This window comes from Homo sapiens, chromosome 2 (assembly GCF_000001405.40).
Source record: "Homo sapiens chromosome 2, GRCh38.p14 Primary Assembly".
Lineage (NCBI taxonomy): Eukaryota > Metazoa > Chordata > Mammalia > Primates > Hominidae > Homo > Homo sapiens.
Window position 1 is genome coordinate 241,430,765 of NC_000002.12, and position 17,138 is coordinate 241,447,902.

A 17,138-nucleotide genomic window follows, 5' to 3' on the forward strand; every position below is an offset into this window, starting at 1 on the left:
GAGGCAAGGTGGACTAATCACCTGAGGTCAGGAGTTCAAGAGCAGCCTGGCCAACATGGTGAAACCCCATCTCTACTAAAAATACAAAAATTAGGTGTGGTGGCACACACCTGTAGTCCCAGCTACTCAGGAGGCTGAGGCAGGAGAACTGCTTGAACCCAGGAGGCGGAGGTTACAGCGAATGGAGATTGTACCACTGCACTCCAGCCTAGGTGATAGAGTGAGACTCTGTCTCAAAAAAAAAAAAGAAAAAAAGTGCAAATCTTTCCACTTCTAATTTTCCATTTCCTATAAATATTTGAAACAATATGAGGAGAGATACAAGTCCCAGTGTATCTTCCTGGTGAATTGCTTTTAGATGATGTAAGCCCTCTTTCTCATGCACTGTGTCTGATGATAATATTGCTCCAGCAGCTTTCTTTTGGTCAGTTGTTAAGTACATCTTTTTCCATCTCTTTGAACCTTTCAGTGTCCTTGTGTTCCAGATGTGCCTCGAGTTTGAGACCAGCCTGGGCAACAGAGCAAGACCTCATCTCTACAAAAAAAATTAAAAATAGAAAATTAGGCAAGAGTGGTGTCTGGTGTCTGTAGTCCCAGCTGCTCCAGAGGCTGAGGCAGGATGATTGCTTGAGCCCAGGAGTTTGAGGCTGCAGTGAGCGGAGATTGGTACCACTGCACTCTAGCCTGGGCAACAGAGCAAGACTCCATCTCAAAAAAAAATTAAATTATCTTTCTAGAACAGATAGATTAATATGTTTAGTTATTGACATTTTAAGTCAGCTATCTCAGATATAATGGTAAAATGCCAAGTAGAGTGCTGTGTTGGCAAGGATGTAATTTAAGCATTCCCTATTTCATGAGAAAGGGGTTATGTGCCAGATACAAATGTAATCTGTCTGTCTCTTGCATTTCAGGGCACCACCAAAATCAACACTTTCAACTGGTCCAAGGTCCGTAAACTAAGCTTCAAGAGGAAAAGATTTCTTATCAAACTTCATCCAGAGGTTCATGTAAGTATTATTTTCAACTTTTTATTTTTATTTTATTTTATTTATTTATTTATTTATTTTTTTGAGACGGAGTTTCGCTCTTGTTGCCCAGGCTGGAGTGCAATGGCATGATCTCGGCTCACCGCAACCCTCTGCCTCCCGGGTTCAAGCGATTCTCCTGCCTCAGCCTCCCAAGTAGCTGGGATTACAGGCATGCGCCACCACACCTGGCTAATTTTGTATTTTTGTAGAGACAGGGTTTCTCCATGTTGTTCAGGCTGGTCTCGAACTCCTGACCTTAGGTGATCCACCCGCCTTGGCCTCCCAAAGTGCTGGGATTACAGGCTCACAAAGTGCTGGGATTACAGGCGTGAGCCACCATGCCCAGCCTATTTTGACCATTTTTTAACTCATAATTTATTCTGCTAAAACATAATTACTTTGTAAATCATTTCAGCATAATGCACACAAGAACTCAAGGACAGGATTCGGGACTTAGGTCTGGAGGGGCTGAGGGCAGTCTGCCTAGCTGGTCTCACACTTACCTCCCCCAGGAACTTTGTCACTCACGTGTTGCTGGCTCAAAACCCCAGGGTTTCAGCTTCAGCGGGTCTGGGATGAACCCAAGAAGGTGCACATCTGACAAGCTCCTAGGGGTTGCTAAGAACCATGGTTATTGCAGCCTCTTTGTTCTCTAGGTAAGGAAGCTGAAGAACAAAGTGCTCAAAATGATCTGAAGCCCTACAGCAGCTGAGAGCTTCAGAATGAACTGAGGAGTATCCCCAGTGTTCTCTTGTGTCCTTCATTCAGAAATTGATCTTTGAATAGCTCTAATTGAAGAAGCCTTGATTATCAGGGAGTAAATATTCCCTTCTTTACTGACTGCTCATTAATAAAATAATAATTACATATGAATTTACTGAAATGAGTAAAAATGGAAAAAATAAATGCCTGTGCAGTGTATTTGGTAAAATCCAGTACTTCCAGTTATTCAAAGATGTTCCAGTTGCTGCATTTCCGTTGTACAAAAGGAGTTAGAAAATAAAAAGTAGATTTGCCAAGCTACCATGGGGTTTGAAGCTTAAGAGATGGCCATGCCTGTGTCAGCCCAGACACATTTTGGGTTATGGGAGATTTAGAGCCTTTGGGCCAGTCAGAAGAAAAGCTTTGCCTACGCCTTTAAAAGGCACTTGAGTAGTAGGGCTTTTGGTACACACTGGGTTCACGTGCTTTGTGTAAGTGTGTTTGCTTTTGGTAGAAGGCTTGAAAGTGGCTTTAATTGTTGTACAAATATCTGTCCTGTGGATGAAGGGGAAGTAGAAGGAATGCCAAACACACATACGAAACACAAGTAAAAGCTGTTTTACTCTGTAAGTAAAAAAAAAAAAAGTTTCCTGCAGTTATTCGAGATGATAGGGAAAGTTCACCAAAGCAGCTATTAACTTGAATAGGGCGATAAGTCAAAGCCCAGAACTGTTTGCATCTGCACTTAGCAAAGTTACATTTTACTTACCTAAGCACGTTTTAAAGACTAAATGTTAGATTCAAAGTATTACAGTCTTTGTGGAAGGTAATTGGGTAACATACATCAGCAGGTTCAAAAATGTGCAGTCTTTGAGCTCAGATTTCCATTTCTAGGAATTTATCCTAAGGAATAACTGAGAGTGAATGCAGTTCCTTCAGGGCAATATTTGTAGGCCTGAAAACTGCATGTCCTGGACATCTAAAATATCCTAGATTTTAAAAATATATACCATGTAGAAACAATTCAGTAATAACATGTAAATATGTCAGTTGGCATGAAAAATGCCAAGGCTAGGTAGAAAAAGTGTTTACAAAGATAGAATTCAGAATGTTGATAGTTGTGTGATTGTGGGTGACTTCATTTTTCTGCTAGTTCTACTATGAATATATATACTGTCTATCTTTTCTTAATTAAGCAGATGGAACCAGAAGACTTTGTATACAACTTTTAGAAAAACCCTTCCTGGGCTGGGTGCAGTGGTGCACACCTGTAATCCCAGTACCTTGGGAGGCTGAGATGGGCAGATCACTTGGGCTCAGGAGTTCAAGACCAGCCTGGCCAACATGGCAAAACCCTTTTTCTACAAAAAATACAAAAATCAGCTGGGCTTGGTGTTGTGAGCCTGTAGTCCCTACTGAGCAGTAGGAGGGGAGCGGCTGAGGTGGGAGGATTGTTTGAGCCTGGGAGGTTGAAGTTGCAGTGAGCCAAGATCACGCCATTGCACTCCAGCCTGGGCACAGAGCAAGATCCTGTCTCAAAAAAAAACCTTACTGATTTTTAATTTTGGAATTCCCTATCGTGTGATCTGCTTCCTAAATGTACTTTCTCTTGTCCAATACTTCATTCTTGAATTAATTAACCTTTGTGTTTTGTTTCTAGGGACCTTACCAGGACACATTAGAATTTTTGTTGGGTAGTAGAGATGAATGTAAGAACTTCTGGAAGATTTGTGTGGAGTATCACACCTTTTTTAGACTTTTGGACCAACCTAAGCCAAAAGCAAAAGCCGTCTTCTTCAGCCGGGGCTCCTCCTTCAGATACAGGTAGGGGCCATGCCGTGGCTTGCATGGGCCCCTCACTGGTTTGTAAAGCTGAGAAAATAGGTAATTCCTAGTCAAGAAAGAAGTGTTATAAAATATTTCAGAGAATTACACACAAAGTGGAGGTATTGTGAAAGAATAACTAGAGGAAGCATATGAAATAAAATAACGGAAAAAATACGCTTAATAAAAACTTTGCTTACAAATTCAGTTACGCTTACTACAAAGTATAACTTTAAAATATGTATGTGGGCCGAGCCCGGTGGCTCACACCTGTAATCCCAGCACTTTGGAAGGCCAAGGCGGGTGGATCATTTGAGGTCAGGAATTCGATATCAGCCTGGCCAACATGGTGAAACCCCATCTCTACTAAAAATACAAAAATTAGCTGGGCGTGTTAGCGGGCACCTGTAATCCCAGCTACTCGGGAGGCTGAGGCATGAGAATCGCTTAAACCCATGAGGCAGAGATCACGCCACTGCACTCCACCCTGGGCAATAGAGCGAGACTCAGTCTCAAAAAATAAAATATATGTGTGTATATTTATGAGAGAGGATGGGTAAATCTTTTCTTTTGTCTTTTACTCTGAAAAATTAATGCTGACTTACTGTTCTTTATTAAAAATCTGAATCTTTATTCACAGTGGAAGAACTCAGAAACAACTAGTAGATTATTTCAAAGACAGTGGAATGAAGAGAATTCCATATGAAAGGTAAGCTCTGGCCTTTATGATGTAAAGTGTGTGCTTTTAAAATTAAAATTTAAATATATATATGGAGAGAGAGCGAAAAGAGAGACTGAGTCTTGCTCCGTCACCTAAGCTGGAATACAGTGGCATGATCACGGCTCACTGCAGCTTCAGACTCCTGGGCTCAAGCAATCCTCCCACCTCAGCCTCCCGAGTAGCTGGGAATATAGGCGCACACCACTATCCCCTGGCTAGTTTTTTTTGTTTTTTTTTTTTTTCTGTAGAGACAAGGTCTTGCTATGTTGCCCAGGCTGGTCTCAAACATGTGGGCTCAAGTAATCCTCCAACCTCAGCCTCCCAAAGTGCTGCGATTATAGGTGTGAGCCACCATGCCCAGCCTATTTTAAATATTAATCTTTACTTGACTGAAAGTCACTTCAAATACATGAATGTGTATTTTTACAGGAGTTCAGTTTCAATGTTTTAAAGAAAGTGGATTTGTAATTTTTTTTTTTTTTTTTTTGAGACGGAGTCTCGCTCTGTCGCCCAAGCTGGAGTGCAGTGGTGCGATCTCGGCTCACTGCAAGCTCCGCCTCCCGGGTTCACACCATTCTTCTGCCTCAGCCTCCCGAGTAGCTGGGACTGCAGGCGCCTGCCACCACGCCTGGCAAATCTTTTGTATTTTTAGTAGAGATGGGGTTTCACTGTGTTAGCCAGGGTGGTCTCGACCTCCTGACCTCATGATCCACCCGCCTCGGCCTCCCAAAGTGCTGGGATTACAGGTGTGAGCCACTGCCCCCGGCCTGTAATATTTTTATATAGACATTGTATACACATAGAGATATTTTTAGTTTCTCTTCTGTATAGCTTAGCTTATATATATTTTTACATAGTATAGTAAATTTTTTTTTTTTTTTTTTTTTTGAGATGGAGTCTTGCTCTGTCGTCCAGGCTGGAGTGCAGTAGTGTGATCTCGGCTCACTGCAAGCTCCACCTCCTGGGTTCACGCCATTCTCTTGCCTCAGCCTCCCAAGTAGCTGGGACTACAGGCACCCACCACCACACCCAGCTAATTTTTTGTATTTTTAATAGAGACGGGGTTTCATAATGTTAGCCAGGATGGTCTTGATCTGACCTCGTGATCCACCCGCCTCGGCCTCCCAAAGTGCTGGGATTACAGGTGTGAGCCACTGCGCCCGGCCTATAGTAAACATTTAATCTGAAAATTCTTGTTGTTTCTCCGCACGTGGAATTTTTTCCTTTAGTGTGGGTGTGTAATCTTACCTCTCTTGGGACCTCTGTTTTTTATTTGAATTCTTGTTTTCCATTCTCCTGCCCCTTTCAAGTTAGATACCTCTTAGCTACATTTTCTTGTGAGGTTTTCTTCATGGATACAGTACATGCTTGCTGCTTTAAAAACAGGCGCTGAGAAGGGGAGGGCTTGGTTTCTCACAGCTCGTCCTCTGTTTTGCAGAAGGCACAGCAAGACCCACACGTCCGTTCGAGCTCTGACTGCAGACCTACCAAAACAGGTTAGTCTCTTCCGGTTCAACATGGGGGCAGTAGGAGTTCCCTGTACTCTTTTGGAAAATAGTCTGTCAGTATTGTAACAAGAGTCTTAAAATTAATCATATTATTTAATGCAGCAATTGTAATCCTGGGACTCTGTTTTCAGAAAGGGGTCCTGAATAGAAAGCCAGCAGGGCAGTGGCCCATGCCTGTAATCCCAGCTCCTTGGGAGGCCAGGGCAGGAGGGTTGCTTCAGTCCAGGAATTCGAGACCAGCCTGGGCAACATGGCAAAATCTTGTCTCTACAAAAAATACAAAAATTAGCCGAGCATGATGGTGGCGCACGGGTAGTCTCAGCTACTCAGGGAGCTGAGGTGGAAGAATGTCTTGAGCCCAGGAAGTTGGGGCTACAGTGAGCCAAGATAGTGGCACTACACTCCAGCCTGGATGACAGAACAAGATCCTGTCTCAAAAAAAAGAGAGAAAGCCTGTATGTTGAGATGTGCATCATAGTGTTGTGTGTAATACACCACAAAATCCTGACAACTCTCATCTGTGCCAGATGACTTACTAACTATGTTTTTAGCTGTATTCACTTAGTAGGATTTTTTGTTAACTGCTGAAAGCATGGCTTAAAAAGAGTATGTGGTAACATGGAGAAATTCTTGCTGTTATGTTACAAATGAAAAGCAGGAAACAAATTTGTATCTCTATGTCTTTGGCATGATTGCAACTATATCAAAACAAAGATACACCAACTCACACAGACACTTCATACAAAAACATTTGACAAGAATGTCCCAGAATGTGACAACAGCTGTTCCGTGCCACTGTGATGGGACATCAGCGACCTTCTCATGTTTCAGGTCTACTTCACTACAGTCCCTTCCCATTTTTATGCTGGCATGTTAACTTCCATATGCAAGCATATTTTTACATTGAATCTTGCATGTTTTGTTTTGTTTTACCAGAGAGAGTCTTACTCTCTTGCCCAGGCTGGAGTGCAGTGGCATGATCTAGGCTCACTGCAACCTCTGCTTCCTGGGTTCAAGTGATTCTCATTCCTCAGCCTCCCAAGTAGCTGTGATTACAGGCACATACCATCATGCCTCGCTGACATATACATATATATATATTTATTTATTTATTTATTTATTTTTTTTTTTTGAGACGGAGTCTTGCTCTGTCGCCCAGGCTGGAGTATAGTGGCGCGATCTCGGCTCACTGCAAGCTCCACCTCCCGTGTTCACACCATTCACCTGCCTCAGCCTCCCGAGTAGCTGGGACTGCAGGTGCCCGCCACCACGCCTGGCTAATTTGTTTGTATTTTTAGTAGAGACGGGGTTTCACTGTGTCAGCCAGGATGGTCTTGATCTCCTGACCTCATGATCTGCCCGCCTCGGCCTCCCAAAGTGCTGGGAATACAGGCATGAGCCACCACGCCCAGCCGCCTGGCTGATTTTTGTGTTTTTTAGTAGAGACATGGTTTCACCATGTTGGCCAGGCTGGTCTCGAACTCCTGGCCTCAAGTGATACGCCTGCCTTGGCCTCCCAAAGTGCTTGGATTATAGGCATGAGCCACCATGCCTAGTCAGAATCTTGCTATTTTTATGTAACATATCATAACTCTTTCTTCATGGTGCTACAGTTTCAACTTTTATCTCTGTACAGTGTCAATTTTTTTAATGGTTTGTCATTTATACTGTCATAGCACTTCAGAAGCTACACTTGCACCTCATTATATTAAAGGTCATGTGAACTGGGCACAATGGCTCACACCCTTAATCCCAACTACTCAAGAGGCTAAGGCTGGAGGATTGCTTGAAGCCAGGAGTTTGAGACCAGCCTGGACAACATAGTGAGACCTATCTATCTGAAGATTTTTTTTTAAATTAGCCAGGTGTGGTGGCACTGAACTATAGTCCCAGCTACTTGGGAGGCTGAGGTATGAGGATCACTTGAGCCCAGGAGTTCAAGACTGCAGTGAGCCACAATTGTACCACTGCACCCCAGACTAGACAACAGGGTAAGAATGTCTCAAAAAGTAAAGCTCATGGTATCCCAGGTTTTTTCATGGGTACATGAAAACCTTCTTAAACTCTCTGGTTTTTTTTTTTTGTTTTTTTTTTTTTGAGACAGAGTCTCGCTCTGTCGCCCAGGCTGGAGTGCAGTGGCGCGATCTTGGCTCACTGCAAGCTCCGCCTCCCGGGTTCACGCCATTCTCCTGCCTCAGCCTCCTGAGTAGCTGGGACTACAGGTGCCCGCCACCATGCCTGGTAATTTTTTTTTATTTTTCAGTGGAGACGGGGTTTCACTGTGTTAGCCAGGATGGTCTCAATCTCCTGACCCCATGATCCACCTGCTCAGCCTCCCAAAGTGCTGGGATTACAGGCGTGAGCCACCGCGCCCGGCCAACTCTTTTAGATATGTTTCCTCTTTAGAAATTTCTTGTTAATTCAATTGAAATTAAAGGGAAATGTATTTTTAATTGTTCCTTTACACAGTTTGATTTTTTTTTCTTTTTTTTTGGAGACAGGGTCTCACTCTATCATCTCGGCTGCATGATCACAGCTCGTTGCAGCCTCAACCTCCCAGGCTCCGGTGATCCTTCCACCTCAGCCTCCCAAGTAGCTGAGACTACAGGTGCATGCCACCGCACCCAGCTAATTTTGTATTTTTTTTTGTAGAGACAGAGTCTCACCATGTTGCCCAGGCTGGTCTCAAACTCCTGGGCTCAAGTGATCCTTCTGCCTCAGCCTCCCAAAATGTTGGGATTACAGGCATGAGCCAGCATACCCAACCACAAAGTTAGAATTTTTTTTTCTTTTTTTTGAGACAGAGTCTCGCTCTGTTGCCCAGGCTGGAGTGCAGTGGTGCGATCTTGGTTCATTGCAACCTCCACCTCCCGGGTTCAAGTGATTCTCCTGCCTCAGCCTCCCAGGTGGCTGGGACTACAGGTGCATGCCACAATGCCTGGCTGATTTTTTGTATTTTTTGGAGAGACAGGGTTTCACCGTGTTAGCCAGGATGGTCTTGATCTCCTGAACTCATGATCCGCCCGACTCGGCCTCCCAAAGTGCTGGGATTACAGGCGTGAGCCACCATGCCCGGCCTTCAAAAGAATTTAATGTCAAAATAAGAATCATCTAAAAGTTACCTTTAAGGACAGGCACAGTGACTCAACAGCTGTAATACCAGCACTTTGGGAGGTCAAGGCGGGCAGATCTCCTGAGGTCAAGAGTTCGAGACCAGCTTGGCCAACATGGTGAAACCCCAGGTTTAATAAAATACAAAAATTAGTGAGGCATGGTAGGCGCGTATAATCCCAGCTACTCGGGAGGCTGAGACCGGAGAATTGCTTGAACCTGGGAGGTGGAGGTTGCAGTGAGCCGAGATGGCACATTGCACTCCAGCCTGAGTGACAAGAGTGAAACTTCATCTCAAAAATAAATAAATAAATAAATAAAACCTTTACGCTTTCAATTTTCTTCCATTCCATTTTAAAAGCCACATGAGAATATTGAATATGGTTGAATAATTGAGACATGATAAGATCAGCATTTGAAAATAGGTTAATCTTATGGACTGTGGCCTACTATTTTGTTTCTGAAAGCCTAGTAACTAAGCCTTGTGCAGTTACATTTGCACTTTTTACATATGGTAACACGTGCATGTGTATATTGCCTGTGTACATATTGCACAAAAAGTTATTCAGTTGTGTTTGGTTATATTTTGGTCTGACCACACTCTTAACGATGTGGCGTGTGTATATATAGTAAGGGATGTCCCCAAAGCGTGACTGCATCCCGTGATAGCGCGCGAGGAGTGACGCTTAGTGAGTAGAGGGGGCTCAGCCGTGTCCTTGTGTGTGGAACCATGAGGGGAGGATGTGTTAGGGCACCTATGGAGTAGCAGGTGATGCAGCATAGCCACTGGACATCTGGTCCTGGCCCCTCAGTATTTCCTCATCCTGCTTGGGAGCTGCTTCTCCCTCAGACTTGTGGCCACTCCTGTGCTTTTGGAAGGCCCCAGGTCTCTTGTGCCACTCCCATTGGCAAAGGGCATCCTAGGCAGTGACCCTCAACCTTCCCTTACATGTATGAGTGGATTGGTGTGTGTCCTAACTCCCTCGCGACGATACATCTCTGACAGATGAGTGCGCATTACTGTAGAACTTGGACTTGTTACTCACCTGTCAGTACTGTGGTTTAGGGTTCTATTGGCTGAGTGGAATGGTTCACTCCCTCTCCAGCTGTATTTTACCCCTCAACAAAACTATGAATCTCCTGGTAACGGGATTCCAGGAAGACGTGGACCACGTGTCATTAGGTTCTGCAAGATGGAGGTTTTCTTGGCCAGGCATGGTGGCATGTACCTGTAATCCCAGCATGTTGGAAGGCGAAGATGGGTGGATCACTTGAGGCCAGGAGTTTGAGCTATGATGGCACCACTGTACTCCACCCTGGGCAACAGAGCAATACCCTGTCTCTAAAAAAATTAAAAATTGTAATTTAATTTTAAAAACTTTTCTTTATTGTGGATATTTCATGTCATAAGAGAAAAAAATGGAATTGTAAGGGTTTGTAAACAGACGATCCTGGGTTGATTTGCAATGCTACTTTTACAAATCTTCAGTTCTACAAGGGAAAGTCTAGTGAATTGCCCATTTTCATGAAAGCTGTGATAGAAATGTGTGGATGCCCTAAGTTAGGCCAGGTGGCTTTGCAACTTCTAGTGGTAATTTGTAATTTTATATCCTTTTTTTCTTTTCTTAACTTTGGTTCCCAGAGCATCTCATTCCCCGAGGGATTGAGGACTCCTGCCTCCCCATCTTCAGCGAATGCCTTTTACTCGCTCTCTCCCTCCACTCTGGTCCCCTCTGGCCTGCCAGAGTTTAAGGACAGCAGCAGCTCCCTCACAGATCCCCAGGTTTCCTACGTCAAGAGTCCAGCTGCAGAGAGGCGCAGTGGAGCAGTGGCTGGAGGCCCCGACACACCATCGGCCCAGCCCCTCGGGCCCCCCGCACTCCAGCCTGGTCCAGGTGTCGGGTTTTGTCATGTCGTGAGCAGCTGTGGTTCTGTCTGTGCTGGGGGGCAGAGTTTCAGTGCCTTAGACCTAGACACAGGGAGGGCCGGTAGGGAGCTCAGCGCTGCTTGTAAAAATGACAATGGTGGGGATGACTTTACCACAGGCTCATTTCCTTCCGGTGGGGAGCACCGGTGTGACCGGCAGTGTCGTGGGGGGGCCCCTGCTTTCACATTGACAAATGCCCAGCTGCAGGTATCTGAGGAGTTCATAGACGATGACCCAGCAGACATCTCCTTCTTTGCTGGAGGCTCTGAGGCGTTTTCTTTTCCTTATGGCTCTGTAGTCCCACAGGAATCTCAGGCCTCTGCCCAGCCTCTGGTGGCCCCTCCTTTGTGTGAGCTTCCAGGGTCTGCTCGGTCCAGCCCAGACAGGTACTCCATGGAGGCAGTAGATATGAACACAGAAGACGGTTTTGCATTTGAGGAGGAAAGTGACTTCAATGGGAACGCACACCCCTCAGACACCTCGGAGCTATTTGAGGTGAAGGCGCAGGCCAGCCGGATGCAGCGCCTGCTGGGTCCTTCTGAGACCAGCTCACTGAGAAACAGCCAGTCTGAAAACAGCTCCCTCAATAACATGCCACTACGTGGTGGGCTGTCTGTGCACACATGCAGCTCAGCCAGTCAATCTGAGGCCAGCTCCATGGTCAACTTCCCAGCCTACTCAGTCCGCTCTGAGTCCAGCTCGGCCTTCCAGTTCTCTGACATCATCGACCAGTTAGAGCAGCTCAGCTACCCACCCACGACGGCCGAGGACTCCAGCAGCACAGAGTCAGACTCATGGGACTCTGAAACCGAGGCCCCCCTAGACATAAGCCTTTTCTTCAGCAACCCTTTTGCACACACAAGTGGAGAAAGAGTCCCTTTTGATTTACAGAACAATTTAAAGAATTTGACTCCAGGAGAGCAAATAGATAAAAACCCATCTTGACCACTCTGGGTTCCTTTACAAGGCAACCCACTCACCCACGCTGTGTGGTTTAGAGCTCAGAATTGTTTGGTTTAAACACAGAAAGTGACTTTCATTTCATGGATAGATATTCAATTTTTTTTTAATTTCCTGATTTATTATACTTTTTTGAATGTCAAAAAATTTGACCTTTCACTTGGAATGACGTAAAAGCTATGCCTCCGGTCTTAGACCTGAGTACTCCAGCCAGTCCTCCTAGAGGACCGATAAATTAGTCTTTGTAGTTTATGTTTTTTGCCATATGCTTTGATTCAAGTAAGAACTGGTGCTATACATTCTGAATGTTACACAATTCTGTTCATGTTGATCTTCAATAGAATATGTGTATTACACTATTGATGCTGCTTTTCAAGATGAGCCCTGTTGCCTATAATTAACTAGGACACAGGTTTTGTCTCACTTGTCCAGCCACTGCGCTACACAAAACCTTGAGTATGCCTCTACAGCCCTAACCCTGGGAAAGATGGCCATAGGCCATGGCCTCCTGTGTGCTGTGGTCAAACTCGTGGGACTCTGAGACCCTAAGGCCCCCGTAGACATTAGCCTTTTCTTCAGCAACCCTTTTGCACAGACAAGTGGAGAAAGAGTCCCACTGGGACTCTGGGGGGACAGTCATCCATTGCACTGGGGTTGGGGGTGAGGGGATGCCTGGAACTGTCCCAGTGCCAAAGGCACCATGTCATTTTTTTTTTTAAAGGTGTCAAAGGGCCACTGCCTCATTATTGACTTGAGACCCAGAAATAGTGCTGTGTGTAGATAGTGGTCTTGGAGAGGCGTTGGTTTAAAATGCACTTATGTAAGTTTGAGCTGTTTTCTTTTCTTCAGCTTAATTGGGAACTAGAAGATACGTGGTTGCAAAAAAAGCAGAACCAGACACACCATGGGCATCATTCTGTCCCAGGACAATGGGAAGGGTCCCAGGGGCAGGTGTGCCAAGGTGGCCCTGCCCACCCATCCAGCGTACCCGTAAACACATACCAGGTGCCATGGGCCCTGCTGGGTACCACATGGAGAGCTTCTCAGTCTAAACCACCATAAAAGTCAAGGCTGATGTTTGTGGCACAGAGTGGGTAGGTCCATCCAGGGACGTCATGGGGAAACCACTGCCATGCAGCTCAGCACCCACAAGTGCCGGTCTCAGGCCAGCCCTAGATGACACTGTTCAATTTGTCAAGTCCACAGATAGGGTTGGGGTTTTTGTTGTTTTTCTTTTCTGATCTTACCTAGTAGTGCAATACCACATTTAAAGTTTAATTCTCTTCCCAGAATGTCTTGTGGAAACTTTACATTTCATTCCTGTTCACATTGTAAGATCTCTGATGTTTTGCCTGGATGGATTTACTGTGATTGCACAGGGACCACGTGGCTCAGGTGTCTGAGCCATTGAGGGCATCTTGCAAGGGCTGGTTTTCCTTTTCTCATCAGTGTTGGCTGGATGCCAGCAGGGGTTTTGTGGCTAACCACATCAGGCAGTTTCCCATTTTTGTAGCTTTGTTATACCTAAACCGCAGTCTCATCATTTTGCTTATGCAGCTAGAAGTTTCAGTCTGTATAGTTGTTATTCATTCTGTCCCTGGTAATTTAGACCTGCCTTCTTGATGCTTTAGGGGCCATTGGGCACAGCTTTCTACATTGGCTAACAAATACCTGTGAAAATGTTAACAGACAGAAGCGCAGCAGTGAACCTGAGGTCAGGACAGGACTGTTTGGGAGGTTCTTCTTTTCTTACTGTCACTCCAAAAATAAACCTTGGATTTGTGTGCTGGGGAGAAATGAGTATAGATAACATTTAAAACGTTTTCCTAAACCTTAGTATTCATATGGTAGCTGATGGTTCCTCTCCCCTTCATTACTGTTGCCTGACGACGGTCCTTGCTGATGCTGTGAACTAACAAAGTTGTCTTTTTGTTTTTAAGGGAACCCACCCTGGCGTCTGGACAGCAGGTTAGGTTTGGGTGGTTTTGAGCTAGCACTGCTGTGGGGCAGGGGTGGCCGCTCCCTGGTGAAGCTAATGCTGTGGAAGCTGGAATGTTCCTTCCTAAGGAGTGGGATCATGCCCCTACCCCAGCAGAGGTATCTCATCACTCGCTCATGTGCGAGATTCTAAATAAATTTTGTTCTTGGGCATCTTCTACTAGGCCTCCTATAAAATAGATCTTGCTGTTTTTGGTTTGTGTTAATGGAACCTCACTTTCTAGAGATAATTCTTTAGTTTTTTATTTAGGAAGTTTTCAAAATATACAAAGCAGGAATGTAAGGAACCCGCATCACCTCAAATTCAGTGTTACCCACACTTGACCATGCTTGCCCCAGCTGTGCCTTTTTTCTTTCCTTGGGTATTTTGTTGCTAAAGTATTTTATTATTACTGTTTTAGAGACAGGGCCTCACTCCTGTCACCCAGGCTGGAGTATGGTGGCACAGTCACATCTCACTGCAGCCTCAACCTCCTGGGCTCAAGCCATCCCCCCACCCCAGCCTCCTGAGTAGCTGGGACTACAGGCACACATCACTGCGCCCAGCTAATTTTTAAAAAATTTTTGTGGAGACAGGTTCTCTTCATGTTGCCCAGGATGGTCTTGAATTCCTGGGCTCCAGCAGTCCTCCTGTCTCAGCCTCCCAAAGTGCCAGAATTGCAGGCATGAGCCTGGGTGCTAGAGCGAGGCCCTGTCTCAAAAAAAAAAAAAAAAAAAATCAATCAAGGCTTTCTTCCGAGTTACTGCTCACAGCCCTCTTACCCCTTTCTCTTGTGAGTGGGTTGTAATGTCCACCCAGAGGGGATTTAGACACGGAAGGGAAGGCAAGCGTGGGCACCATGGCTTTAGAACCATAAGGAAGACATTTCCCTCTACAGATTCTGTCTTTCCACTTGTAACAGTTAATGAGGCACTGACGTTGCTCTTTTCCACCTTAACAAGACAGTTTACAGTGGTTAAATAGCAAAACTCCAGGAGCAATTCAGCCTGAGGCCATAGTGCCCTGCAGCAGCATTGGGCTCTGCTTTTGTTTCTGCTTTGTGCTTTGTGGCTCTTCTTCAAGCCAGTGTTGGGTAGTGCACAGCCTGAGAGGTGTGGCCTGATAAACCCTGAAATTGAAAGAAGTATGCAGATTTGACTCAGCACTCCTGGAAGTGTCTGGATACAGCTCACTGAGAGTGTGGAGGTGAAAGTGCCTGCAAAATATTAACAGTTCTCTCTCAATCTATTGATCTCCTCAGTTACATCCAGAACCTTAAAGCCGCACAGTTGTCATCCTCCGCCCGCAGTCTCAGGCAGGGCGCATCAGGGGCTGCACTGGTAGCTCCCAGGAGGACTTACCCATGGGTCACCGTCATAGCCAGGTGTGTCTACTCAGAGGGGACGCAATCCTGCAGCAGTCCCCGTCAATGAGAGGCCACCAGCAGACAGTGCCTGTTGGACCCATGAAGTCCACCACTAATTATATACTCTGCTTTAGGTAGAATATTTTTATTAGCTGTCAAACTGTTTTTGTATTTAAGTTTCCAAAAGTCCAGGTACTTTATGTAGGCCAATGTATAAATATTTCAAGTCTAACAGTAGCACAGTTATATGTTAATACAACTGACTACACGAAAAATATGTAATAGCATATGCTATGTAATTTTTCAAATCACTAGGTATTGATATGTGCCTTTTTTATATTACCAAGAGATTCTCTAAATATGGAATTAGATTAGGATTCTCTGCTCCACTTAACACACATTTTTAAATTAGTACTGATGATTGAGGGATGGACAATAGCACACCAAAAAAAAAAGAGTTTAGTATGAAAAATTTAAACCTGTTGGTTAAGTCATTCCCATTAATGTCATTTTGCTGAGGGTGACTTGGTCCTTTTGAATTGCTTTGGTGTACGGGTATGTTCTGATTTTTCATGCAAGCTCCTCTGCCATTCCACCGCTCTGAGGAGTAATTGTAGCACTTCACATGTGCTGTGGTTGTGATCACATGGTGACATACATAGCATGTGTGTTCCCAGCTGTTGTGTGTTTATGTGACATTTGATGCCAATACATATGTCTTCAAGGTATGCTTGTTCCCTCCCAGCTCGTGGAATATCAAAAAAATTCATTGCTGGAAAAATTATTTCATAGACAAAAATGTTAATGTTCTCTTGGGGACTTAGAGTTGAAAATATTTGTATAGATTTGGTTCTCAAGTCCACAGAATCGTATCTGCTGTGGTCTCCCTTTGGTGCTCATCTGGGAGCCATGTGTATGGAAGATTCTGTCACAGGCGGCTGGGATGTGGGCAGATGCTGTTAGCCTCCCTCTCCACGTGGTGGTCCATGCCTGACGTGTCCCCTAGTTCAAGGAAGCGCCATCTTTAGCATGAAAACAATTGCGTTCCCCTAGGAAATGAAGAAAAAATGAGCTGAAATTTCCTTATACATTTGAATTTGTTCATTTTTTAAAGAGACATTTTTGTTGTCTGCTTTGTGGTACTTATAAAATTTGTTTTCCATTGAAATTGCCATTTATAAATTTGCAGATATGTACTAATTTAGATTTTTTTAAGTGTTCAATAAAATAAGGATATATTTACTGTGAATTTTTAAATGGGCTTTTTAGCTTTCTTTCCCTCTACTTTTAGTTTTGATTTATATAAGTTAAAGATTCTTTTGCATATTAATCCCTGAAGCAGCTGCATATTTTTTATAACAGTGTCACTGACATCTTCATAGGCTTCTGAGCAAGAAACAGGGAACAGGCACCATGACTCTTGTGCAGATTGTCTTGTTTTAATATGGGTGATGATGTCTGTGGAAGGCCAGTGGGGAAAGGTGCCTTGCTTCTTCTTGGTCTTAGCTCTGTCAGTGCTTCCTGCTCTCGCCTGGTGTGGCCTGCACGGCAGAGCTGGGTGTCGGGGAGGACGTGCCGTGCAGGCCCCCACCACACCCCACGGGGCGGGCCTTGTGTCCTTGCACTTTTACCGTGCACAGAACAGATGCTGTTGGCTTAAAATTCTGAAAATGAGGTTATTATTGCCTGTTTTTTCCACAGTCAGCCAAAACCACCCTGTAAATTACAGGGGAGGACGTGAACAAGAGACCCCTGCCCCAGAGTGCAACAGCTCTGCAGGTTCTGGGCAAGGCTTTATTCCACTCTGAGCTTGAGTTTCCCATTTGGCCAACACGAGTTTCTGCTGCCTCCGTGGAATGTCCATGCCTCTCTAGCCCCACACACGCCTGCGGGGGTGGGGGCAGGGCTTTGGACACTGCCTCCTGCTTTTGAGCCCTGTGAGGATAGGCTCCTCACCTTGCCCTTTTCGGACCTTGGAGCAGCACAGAGCTGCAGCCACTGATGTCAGGC

General features: G+C 45.0%; 1 protein-coding gene across 12 annotated transcripts in view, besides 1 other annotated feature; it reads left to right on the forward strand.

Moving 5' to 3' along the window:
* Window positions 1-17,138, forward strand: part of FARP2 (FERM, ARH/RhoGEF and pleckstrin domain protein 2) — a 138,557-nt gene that overhangs the window by 74,480 nt on the left and 46,939 nt on the right. For all 12 annotated transcript variants that reach the window (XM_047446511.1, XM_011512233.1, NM_014808.4 and 9 more), the window contains 5 exons: window positions 915-1,010; window positions 3,394-3,557; window positions 4,198-4,266; window positions 5,717-5,774; window positions 10,540-10,792. In XM_047446511.1, coding sequence (XP_047302467.1) covers window positions 915-1,010; window positions 3,394-3,557; window positions 4,198-4,266; window positions 5,717-5,774; window positions 10,540-10,792 — 640 coding nt within the window. The remainder of the gene's footprint in view (window positions 1-914; window positions 1,011-3,393; window positions 3,558-4,197; window positions 4,267-5,716; window positions 5,775-10,539; window positions 10,793-17,138) is intronic.
* Window positions 16,234-16,883: an enhancer, noted in NCBI's record as "H3K4me1 hESC enhancer chr2:242386413-242387062 (GRCh37/hg19 assembly coordinates)". NCBI's record gives its function as "activates a minimal SCP1, AML or CMV promoter by ChIP-STARR-seq in primed H9 embryonic stem cells {active_cell/tissue: H9 hESC(primed)}" and the evidence as "EXISTENCE:reporter gene assay evidence [ECO:0000049][PMID:30033119]".